The sequence below is a fragment of the Homo sapiens genome, chromosome X (assembly GCF_000001405.40).
Source record: "Homo sapiens chromosome X, GRCh38.p14 Primary Assembly".
Taxonomy (NCBI): Eukaryota; Metazoa; Chordata; class Mammalia; order Primates; family Hominidae; genus Homo; species Homo sapiens.
The window spans coordinates 37,818,086-37,830,646 of record NC_000023.11 but is presented as its reverse complement, the minus strand read 5'-3'; positions in this window follow the sequence as shown (position 1 = coordinate 37,830,646).

The following is a 12,561-nucleotide window of genomic DNA, read 5'->3' as shown; positions in this document are numbered from 1 at the left end:
AGTCCAGAAATAAAACATATTTCAGGTTGACTTAATCCTGTGGCCTAAGGTCTGTTTCTCTGTGATTGCTTCATTTGTGTCCCACTGTTTGTTGACTTTATCCTTAGCCTAGCCTACTCTGTTAGTTGACTTTATCCTTAGCCTGATTTTCATCATTGTGCAAAAATGGCTAAAGCAGATCCAGGCTTCCCATTCGTATACCATATTGAATAGAGGAAGAAAGAAAATATATTTGAATAGTTAAAAATAAGAAAATTTCTTTCCCTTAAACCTCTGCTAAGCATTCCTGTGGTGGATAGTGGCCTGCAATAAATCTCTTCTCCTGGTATTCATGCCCTTGTGTAGTCACTTTCTTCATTGACTCTGAACTTGGACATATGACTTGCTTTGGCCAATGAGACATATGATGAAAAAGCAAAAGTTTATTTACACATTGTATTTTTCTCTTTGTGTTCTTGCATCCTTGTCTCTTGGAATGCTCCTCCTTGGAATCTGTTAACCATACCGTAAAGAAGCTCAGGTTAGACTACTGAATGAAGAGAAGTCATCTGAAGATGGACTCCAAAGAATAAAAAGCCACCTTTGGAATTTCTACCTCCTGCCAAACTCCTAGCTAAATGCAGGCACATTAGTAACTCTGTTACACCATGTGGAGCAAAAGAATCTTCCAATTGACTTCTGCCAATCCATTACGTTTTGAGGTTGTTTGTAATACAGAAACAGGAAACAATTTCACAGACTTGCACTGGTAAAAATTAGGTCACTAGCTAGAAAGAATACAGGAAGAAAAAAAAACAAAATTAAGCCACATACCCAATATTGAGCCAATCTCTTAATCTGGAAATTCTATTCATTGACTTTCTTAAATTTGGGCTCCTGAATGATTCATTGTAGCAAGGATAGAATCACATTTAGACCAGAGAAGCATTAGTTTTCCCTAAAGTATATCAAAGATATGGGAGAGCATTAAATACTTAAACAAAAATCAGAGTACTTTTAATGAAAGGTAAGGGGAGTGTTGGATGCTGGCTAAACTATCAGCAATGTAGGCTGGGAGTGGTAGCTCATGCCTGTAATCCCAGCCCTTTGGGAGGCTGAGACTTGAGGATCACTTGGGGCCAGGAGCTCAAGACCAGTCTAGGCAACATAGTGAGACACGGTTTCTACAAAAATTTTAAAAGTTAGCTGGCTGTGGTGGTGTGCACCTGTAGTCCTAACTACTAGGTAGGCTGAAGCAGTAGGATTTCTTGAGTCAGGAGTTTGAAGTTAGAGTGAATGACACTACTGCACTGCAACCTGGGTGACAGAGTGACACACTGTCTCTTAAAAACAAAACAAAACAAAGAAATACTCTCTCACATTATTACTGAAATGTATAGCCATCTTGATCTAATTTGTTTTCCCTCTCGTGATAGGTGTACCAGTATAAGAAGTGTTTGACTTTCTCCTTAACTTTTGTATTGGTTTCCGATTGCCACTTAAACTTGGTGGTCTAAAACAACACAAATTTATTCACTTACAGTTCTGGAAGCCAGAAGTTCAAAATGGTCTTACTGATCTAAAATCAAGGTATAAGCAGAGATGTGTCCTTTCTGGAGCTTCTAGGAGAGAATCCTTTTTCTTGCCTTTTCTACTTTCTAGAGGCTACTTAAATTCCTTGGCTAGTGATTCCTTCTAGCACCCTCAAAGGTAGCAGTGTAGTATCTTCAAATCCCGTTCCTTTCTGACCTCTGCTTCCATCATTTCTGACTCTGAGCCTCTTGTTTTCATATTTCCCTTATTAGGAACCTCGTGATTATATTGGGCCCACCCCAGATATTGTCCCTATACTTAATCACACCTGCAAAATCCCTTTTGCCATGAACATATTGACAGGTTCTGAGGATTAGAATGTGGACATCTTTGTGATGGTGGGGGGTGTATTACTCTGTCTACTACAATTTTATTATCACATGAGGCTCAATGTCAGTGGTCTCTCATTCTAGGTATCAGATAATAGGGAATAGTAAGGACTGTGATAAGTTGGATAGCACACAATTTAGAAACAAGGGCTCAGGGTTAATCTTCCAGTTTTTTCAAAAAATCCAGAAATATCAATTATGATGCACAATCTCTCAATTTCAAAATTTCCATATTTTAGAACATGGTGTTTGGGTTTAAGGAGGTCCAATCAATAGTACATCTCTTTCCTAGTTTAATTCTGAATCAATTGGGAGACAAAGATAAAGATAGCTTCAAATAAAAATATTACCTTTCTGTTCCAGAATGGAACTTATCTCAGGGCAGCTAGTCTTTCTAATGTTAAACTCCAGAATTTGAATTATTGCCCAGTTGAAGGCAGAAACGTGCTCTGCTGGTGAACCAGCTACAAAGAAAAAGGGAAAAAGGAGCCATTTTACCTCTCATGGAAGGAGTGAGGAAATAAAGAAATATCAGGGGTTTTATATGAATTGATAAATCTGTACATAGAGAACGACCTGAAAGAAAACATCACAAGTTGGGGATTAAGCACTGTTCCTTTAATGCTTACCACTGAGTCATATTTTTTTACACACTCTGTAGCCCAACATTATACAGGCCAAAAGAAACATGTCTGTGGGTCACATGTAGCCCATGGGTCATTAATTTGTCGGCGTTTCATAGCTCCTGCAGATTTAGTCTTCTAGTAGCCCCTCTCACTCTACCCCAGCTCCCTCTATTGATTGGGCCATCTGGTCAGACATTGCACTTTTTCCACCAATGGTCAACCGACAAAGGGAAGGAAATGAAGCCAGCTATCATCTGGACTTGAGGCCCCATCAGAACGTCTGGGTGCAACTGCTATTGTAGCAAGCTTGGTAATGTAAACTAGGGAGTTTACATGGACAGAACTAATGTTCTATGAATCATTAGCGTAGTCTTTCTAGAGGGCAATTTGGCAGCATCTGTCAAATTTTTAAGTGCTTATGTTCCATGACCAGAGTATTAGAGATCTATACTACAGAAATAATAACATGAGTGAGAAAAAGAAAAAAAGCAAAGAAGAATTTTCTTTGTAATAACAAATTTAAAAAATGAAAACAACTTTAAAGTGTCCACCAAAAGGGGAAGGGATAAATAAATTATGGAAAAGTAAAGATGAAATATCACTTTTTATTTTATGTATTATATGATTTGAAATAGTTAAACAATTACATATTAATTTTTAGTACTTAATTTAAATTACACAATACATGATATTGTTTTTCAGCCAAAACATCATGATATAACAAAAGCCTAAAATGCCCCTTGCCCTTCATCTTGTCTTCTCTTTGTCCCCCACCTTCCCATGTACTCCCATGAGGTAAAATATACTGTCATTTTGATGTATAAGATTCCAGGCTTTTCTGCACATTTACATGAATAAATGAATGTATTTTTTATTGTAAATAATATATATGATTCTGCAGACTGCTCTTTTTATGGAACAGTATGCCTTGGGGATTTTTTTTCATGTCAGTATATACAGACTCACCTTGTTGAGTTTAGCTGCCATACTGTATCTACAGTATGGATAGGACACAGTTTATTCATTTTCCTATTGATGAACATTTAGGTAGTTTCTACTGTTCCACTCTTACAAAACAATGCTGCTATGAATATCTTTGTACAAACTTCCTTGGGTCCATGTATCCACTTTAGAAGTGAGATTACTGGGTTATAGGATGTATACCTTTCAAATCTTAATAAATAGTGTTTCTTCTGTAATTTAAAAATAATACTTTGTTTTAAGAAGCGAGAAAACAATATTCTTAAAAATAGCAAGTGGCTCTCTCATGTACAGATATACAATGTATACATATATAGCTAAAGAGATCCTGTGCCAGCCCTTAAAATTATCATTCTAAAATGGAATTCATTGTGAATCACAGCTTACCCCCCAAAAAAGCACAACAGTCATACACACTGGGCCTACTGTTTTTGGCATGCTTGGGATATAATACCCGCCGTTCTCTTTACATATACTTATGGGTAGTGTGTGTGTGTGTGTGTGTGTGTGTTTGTGTACATGCAAGCATGTGTGTGTGTGTGTCTCTGTGTGTGTGTGTTGGCACATGTGTGCTGTATAGAACTTGCAACAGGGTTTCTTCTAGATGACTCGTCTGAACCACAGCAATTTCTGTGGAAGTTGGAAGAAAATTGATGAATGTAAGAGATATCATGGAGTTGGAATCCCCTGGAAATCATGATTGGTAGGTCTAGGCAGCCAGGCACAGAGCAAAACTAAGGATGTCATGAAGTTTAGTTTCTTGTTTGCTGAGCTGAACGAGGTTTGTTGAACTATCTAAAACCACAGGGAGCACTGTTCACTGGGGTCAGCTTCGTCGATGCTGATAGCTTTGTCTCTTTGCTGCCAACAGCAGCATTTGGTAAGGTGTAAGAAGGCCTGCATTCTAGTCCTGGCTCTACCTCCAATTGGCTATGTGATCTTGAAGTAAGCATTTCACTGCACTTAATTCATCTATAAAATGAACAGGACCTTTTTCACCTTTAATATCATGGACTAGCAACTCCAAACCAAGAATTGAACAGACATTTAGATATCTGTTACACATACCTAAATCTATACAAGCTTGCATGTAACAGATATACAATGCTAAATTAATTCTTTTCATCTGTGCAGGATCTATTCTGGTATTTTTTCTTCAAGAATACTTGTTGTAAGGTTTTGCAGAACTAAAATGGGACAAATAGAAGTGAATCCAAAGATGATGTAGATGCTTCCAACAAGTGAAAGCCTGAAGTGGGAAAATTTGGGATGCCCAGACTCATAGACTGGAAGGGGATAGAATGAGAAAGAATCATCATAAAGTTGTAGAATCCCAGACTTTAAGGTTGCCTATACAAACCTCCAAGCTTCAACAGATATCAGTTCTACAAACACACCTGGCAGATGGCTATGAAAGGAGCTTGTTTGTGGTCTGGACTGGGGGGTGTGTTTTACAGCAAAAGGTAGCTGTCAGGGTAATGTCTTCCATTCAACTGGTCCCCTTTAATGCTGAACTCAGAGTAAGGCAGCACGGACATGTTTCATGAAAAAGAAACCTTGGGAGATCTTTATGCTAAAACACACACACACACACATGCACTGCACACACATGTATGGTTGGTACAGGCTTTGAAAGATATTACCTTGAAATTATTGTTTTGTTTTATCTTCAAAGACTTTATCTCTTCATGCAGTTTAGCTGTGTGGCCACCAGGGGACAGAAGGATGCCATTGATTGTATTGTGAATGTAAGCCTCGAAGTTTGTGCTCTCCCTAAGATTCAAAATGATGGCTCTCTGCTCATTTTGACCCCCTACCCAAGATATATAGTCACATATATCCAGCTTTTTCTATAAAACGAATGCCTTTGCTAAGCTGATTAAAATATGTCAAACTTTAAACTCATCATGCTGGAACCACATTTCCTAGGCCCCTGAAAAACAGCAGCAGTCTCTGGTTTGTAGCAACTCTTTTTCAGAGAAATCACTGGAATTCCAATTCCTTCTGTTTTTTTAAGGTCTCTCAGCTGTGTCTCATTTGGATTCCTCAGTGGCCTTTCCAAGGCCTCTTTTAGCCTAACTTCCCAAGACTCATTCTCCTTTGCTGGTCTCTTTCTACAAACGCAACATGGGGTTAGGTCAGTAATTCATGCAGTAAATATTTACTTTGTATTCACTGTGTGCCAAAACAAGCCCAGGCTCTCAGGAAACAAATAAAACTTTTCTGTCCTACAGCTTACATTCTAGTGAAAAGGCAGACAATAAACAAATATGTTCAGATGGCAATAAGTGCTATAGAGAGGTAATAATAAGAAATAGGAGAGGGAGATTGGGAGTTATTCAAGGAGGGGATGGTGGCAGGGCTGCTATTTTAGATGGTACTGTCAGAGCATATTTCTCTAATAAAGATGGCATTTCAGCTGTGACCTGAAGGAGGTGAGAGAGCAAGCCACATATTCCAGGAAGTTGGGGAGGGGCACAAATGTAAAGATCTTAAGGTGGCACTAGTTTCAGTATGTGTGAGGGGCAGCAAGGTGGCCAGTGTAGCTGGAGCTCAGTGAGAAATGGAGAGAATGATGGGAAATAAGATCAAATAGGTGACAAGAAATCTGATCTTGTAGGACCATATCTGTGAGATGATGCAGCTCTGACAGTTTTGAGCAGAGGATTGACATGGTCACTGTGGCTATAGTAAGAAGTGTGGGAGAAGGGATCATATTCTGGAAATGGCTTGAAGGGAAAGTTGACAGGATTTAATAATGAATTGTATGTGGTAAGTATGAGAAAGAAGAGTCAGGGGTAGGCTAAATATTTGGCCTAAGCAAATGGAGTTTCTATTTACCGGGACAAGAAAGACTTGGGGACAGGCAGTGAGGTAAAAAAGAAAACTAGAATAGTGTGTGTGTGGTCCTGAAAGCCAGGTGAAGAAAGTTTTGCAAGGAGGAGAGAGTGATCATCTGTGTCCTACACTAATGAGGTGGATGGCATCCCTTCTGGCTGTAGCTGTCGCTACAGGTGTTACTTGCCTCACAGACTCACTGACATTGCTGTGCTTTTCTGCCATGTCAGATACTTGCTGGATTGGGAAATGGTCCTCAAGTGTTAGAGACAATTCCACATGACCTCAAAACATGATGGTCCTCTATAGTCTGTTCTCAGTTCCCAGTTTCCTGGAGCTCAACTAGTTAACAGACACCTGAACTCTCATCCTGCATCAGGGGACAAAGGGACACACTACTCAGTGCTGCATTCAAAAAGCTCCTCTCCACCACACTCTGTTCAGCTTCCGGAGCAAAGTCTGTGAGAGGACCCCAGCTTTTTCCTTTTATAGTGGTTCTTTTCCACCTAGAATGCTGCCGGGGGTTGAGCGTCTACCTCAGCTCTCCCATACAAATCCTAGGGCGTCAAGCAATACTGCCTGTTTCATGGCCATTAAACCTTCATGTCCAATCTACGCAGATAATCCCAGGCACTCCAGGACTCACAGTGGCCCTAGACATACAAGCTGTACTGCACTAAATTAAAGAATCGTGCCATAAGCATTTTGCTGAGTAAATGGAATTACTAAAATAGAGACATGTTATTCTCACCCAATTTTTAGCTGTTTGTTTAACATCATAACATAATTTTGCTTTTATATACTGTCACTAATTAAAATTTAAGTTTGAAATTATCATTCTCTTCCAAGATCAGTTTTTGAGATAAACCCCTACCCCTTCTTCCCATCCCAGTCAATTTTATTATCTCCATTCATTTACCATGACTCTTCATAAATATCTTACGAAGGTATAGGGTAAGCTTAGGGGGAAACACGTTGTCCAGATTCAAGTCCTAACTGATTTGTTTCTTAGATGCATGACATTGGGAAAATTGCTTAATATCTCCATGACTCAGTTTTCTCTCCTAGAAAGCACAGATAATAATTGTTGTGAAGATTAAACAAGATGAAGTATGTAAAGTTCCAGGCACATTGTAGAAGCAAGAAGATAGAGTCCATCTTAGCTTGGGTCCATAAGAAAGAAAAATGTTGGCCCCAGTCAACATGCAATGATCACATAATGTAGCAATAAATAAGCTCTAGTTGCTTTAAGCCATTGAGATTTTGGGGGTTGTTACTTCAGCAGAACCAGGTGCTGACTAAGTAAAACAGAAATTGATACAGTGGCTAGGGCATACTATAACAAAATCTAAAATGAGTGACTTTGACAGAGTGGTAGGTTGGTGGGTGTTAAGGAAACATATTGAAGACTGAAAAGATGAAGATCCCTGTTAAGCAGAGGCAAAGCATTTGTTATAAATGTTGCCTATAGTCACTTGGGAAGAAAATCATGTGCCTATTGAATGTGTAGATTTGGAGGGAAAGATGGAAAACATAATGCTAGTAGTCTGTTGTTTGCTGTTAACTGAGAATTGACTGGCTTGACAGTAGAAATGATGGAAACGTCTCAGTATCAACTAAAGTTTATGGACTTTGCACATAATGCTGTGACAGGTTGGAAGAGCTTTGAGATTGCCCCCTTGACAGTAGGTATACTATCAAGAAATGAAGAAGTAAAGCAAAAGGAGTAAACACAAGCCAAATCATGAAATCTCTTTTAAGCCACATTAAGGAGTTAAGTCTCTTTCTTGAAGCAGCAGGAAGCCTTCAAGGGTTTTTGAAACAGGGATGACATGAGTGGCCTGGAAATGAATTTCTTATCAAAATTTAGAAGAGGCTAACATCTTATAAACAATATATGTGCACAAATCAGATCATGCATAATCTGAATTAAAATATCCTCAGAAACAACAAAGCATACATAATATAAAGTAAAAATAAAAATTCCCTTTCACATAACGCAAATTCCTCTTATTTCCCCAGATTATCATATTAATACTTTGATGTGTGTCTTTCCAGACCTTTGATATGCACCCAAACACATGCGTGTGCATGTATGCCCCCATTCCCCCATGCATGCACACACACATAAACGTAGAGTGTTGTTTTGTAACATGAATAGAGTCACACATATAGATCTAACTATATGACTATTTAACATGTGTTCCAGTGTGTGGATACACTATAACTTCTTTTTTTAAAATTTTACTTTAAATTCTGGGATACATGTGCAGAAAGTGCAGGTTTGTTACGTAGGTATACATGTGCTATGGTGGTTTGCTGCACCTATCAACTTGTCATCTAGGTATTAAGCCCCGCATGCATTAGGTATTTGTCTTAATGCTCTTCCTCCCCTTGACAGGCCCCGGTGTGTGATGTTCCCTTCCCTGTGCCCATGTGTTCTCATTGTTCAACTCCTACTTACGAGTGAGAACATGCGGTGTTTGGTTTTCTGTTCCTGTGTTAGTTTGCTGAGAATGATGGCTTCCAGGTTCATCCATGTCCCTGCAAAGGACATGAACTCATTTTTTTTTATGACTGCAGAGTATTCCATGGTGCATATGTGCCACATTTTCTTTATCCAGTCTGTCATTGATGGGCATTTGGGTTGGTTCCAAGTCTTTGCTATTGTAAACGGTGCTGCAGTGAACATACATTGTACTAGAAATTCTTATTGATGAACAATTAGAATGTTTTCAATGTTACATTAAATAACTGCACACATCTAGAGTAGTTGTAAAGCTGTCTCCAAACTGAGGTGTGCACGATGTATGACTCTATTTTTCTCTAACAAAGTGTAATTCTCTTTTAAGCACCTTCTATCATGTAGCAGGAAAACTAATCCCAGTCTTTTTAGGATTATAGACTTACTGTCACCCATGGAATTTGAGTAATGGTTCCAGAATCTTATATAAGTCAACAGGGTTGGGTGGGGCCCTTGGACATAGTGTAATCTGTCCATTTTCCCTATCAGATCCAGTGTCTTTCAGCTACTTCTGTGACACATCTGGGCATGTGAAATTATTTCTATGAAACTTCCTGTTGTCATATCTACATAAACAGATGACATATCCTTTTTCTCCCTCAGGTGTGGTCAATATTCCACCCATTCCATTGTGCTTTTATATTGTCATGGTTGATAACTTTACATTCTATTTTGTAATAGTCTAAGTCTTCTGTAATTTGTCTGTTAATTAATTTTAAAATTAGAAAATCAATACACATTTACATTATTATGAAAGACATCTTTTCAACATTGACCTGAGTGGTGTGCTAGGAGTATTTTTCTTTCTCTACGAATTTAATATCATGACTATACCACTCAAAGGGAATATTTCTAGAGTGATGTTTGAATAGATTCTTTTTTAAAACTCCCACCAAATGCTTTCACCATATGCTCAAGCTGTTCCTGTAGATCTTGTTGGAGCATTGTCCCCTGCTTCTGTCTGAAATAGTTGTTCTCAGAGCCAACTGTCCAGCCATAATCATAGAACATTCTTTGCTCTCCTGGGGTAAAGCCATTGCTTTTTAGGTCTTATTTCTTCATTCATTTTAGATTACTTCCTTGGTTTTCAGAAATACAACCTCAATGACTTCTCAAGAATGATGCAATTTTAGGTAAGGTTAATTTTAGTGTACCTTCTTTCCCTCTATGGTCAGAGCCCCATCTGTGTGGGGTTGCCCCTCTTCTTCCCGATTTGGATGTAATGTCCCAATGCAAAGTGTAAGGTCTAGTTCCTGACCTGTCACTGAGGCTGGATGATGTAACCTAGAAATGTATATGGGTGGGGGGTGAGAGTGTGTATTGTATCATGGAGTTAATCTTGACCAATGAAAAACAGATAGGAAGGGTACACCCTTGTACTGAGCACACACACATGCTGAGTATGGTTCTTTGGGGCTCATTGTGAATTGGTGGCTGTGCGGTGATGCTTCACATCTTCCCATGCCTCACTTACTGGGTTTCTCATGCTCACCACCTTAGGCTTATACCTCCCAAGCAAAATATAAGTATTTTAATCCCTGCCTGGAACTTTGCTTTTTAGCAGAGTGCCTAGGCTAAGCTAGCCAAGTATAGTATTCTAGGTTGAGGCTGGGCACGGTGGCTCACACCTGTAATCTCAGCACTCCGGGAGGCCAAGGTGGGCAGATCATGAGGTCAGGAGTTTGAGACCAGCCTGACCAACATGGTGAAACCCGTCTCTACTAAAAACACAAAAATTAGCTGGGCATGATGGCGGGCACCTGTAATCCCAGCTACTCGGGAGGCTGAGGCAGGAGAATCGTTTGAACCTGGGAAGTGGAGGTTGCAGTGAGCCGAGATTGCACATTGCACTCCAGCCTGGGCAAAAGGGCGAGACTCCATCTAAAAAAAAAAAAAAAAAAAAAAAAAGACTTCTAGGTTGAATATCATTTCCAGCAGAACTCTGAGTTTCTATGAAACTTCCCATGGACATATGTACATAAACAGATGGCATATCCTTTTTCTCTCTCAGATGTGGTCCCTGGTCCATAGGGCTTGGTCCATAGACTTCTAGTTTCCAGTGTTGCTGAAACAAGTTTGATTCTTGCTACTTTATGGGTTAGCTGTGTCTTGATTTGTTTTGTTTTGCTTTAATATTTCCTTTCTGGAAGCTGTTGCAAATTTACTTGAACCTCGATGTTCTGAAATTTTGTAATAATATGTCTAGACATAAGAAATTATTTTCAATGTGATGGCTACTCTGTGGACTCTATCCGTATGATGACTTGTATTATTTAGCTCAGATAAAGTATCTTATAATTTCTGACACTTTTCTCTCACGTGCTATTTCTATACTCTCTTTCTGAAACTTCCGTCAGTTGGATGACAGACTTGACTCTTCATTTCCATGTTTCACTCTTCCCCTTCTTTGTATCTGGTATTTCCATGCCTCTAATTTCTCTGGAATTCTTCAGGGAGATAGGCATCTTCCTGAGCCTTGTCCCTTCCTCAAATACTTCTAAGTTTTATTTCTTTCAAATTAATTCATAATTTACCACTTCTCTATCAATTATCCAGCTTCTAGGAACATGGTAAAAATTTTTATTTCTCGATAGTCCTCTTCTGTTCTCTTTACACAGGTTATATCATTATTATTTTTATTTTATTTTTTATTTTTTGAGACCGAGTCTCACTCCGTCACCCAGGCTGGAGTGCAGTGGCACGATCTCGGCTCACTGCAACCTCCGCCTCCCGGGTTCAAGAGATTACTCCTGCCTGAGCCTCCTGAGTAGCTGAGATTACATTTGCCCACCACCATGCCCACCTAATTTTTGTATTTTTAGTAGAGATGGTGTTTCACCATGTTGGCCAGGTTGGTCTTGAACTCCTGGCCTCAGGTGATACACCTGTCTCAGTCTCCCAAAGTGCTGGGATTGCAGGTGTGAGCCACTGCACCTGGCAACCATAATAATAATAACATGCTAATTAAAAGACATGCTAATTATTATTATTATTATTATTATTATTATTTGAGACGGAGTCTCACTCTGTCACCCAGGCTGGAGTGCAGTGGTGCGATATCGGCTCACTGCAACCTCCACCTCCCGGGTTCAAGCGATTCTCCTGCCCCAGCCTCCTGAGTAGCTGGGATTACAGGCGTGAGCCACATGCCCGGGAATTTTTGTATTTTGGGTAGAGACGGAGTTTCACCATGTTGGTCAGGCTGGTCTTCAACTCCTGACCTCGTGATCCCACCTCGGCCTCCCAAAGTGTTGGGATTACAGGCGTGAGCCACTGCGCCTGGCCCCATTATTATTTTTAAAATGCCATTTAAGAGTCTTCAGAGAGAGAGAGAGAAAGAAAATTGCTTAGGATCAATTCTTCATCCTGAACCAGAATTGTCTGAATTTTTATGATGTAGTTGAATCTGTGTTTTCCATGTAGCTTGTGGGTTTCAAGACTGCTTAACAGGGCTGTGTTTTTCCTGTATGTTAGACATGCTTTGGATTCATTCAGCCAGTTTAATATTTACTGAGTGATGGGTTTACGGTTTGTTGCCATCATAAAGCAATAAACACCACCTGCAGCCGACCTTCATCTAGCAGATCAAGACTTCCTCATTTCTGAAAATAACTGAGTTTTTAAATACCATTCAGAAAGCAGAATGTAAAACAGTTGCTTCTTAGTATAATCTGCATTTTTCATTTTCAGC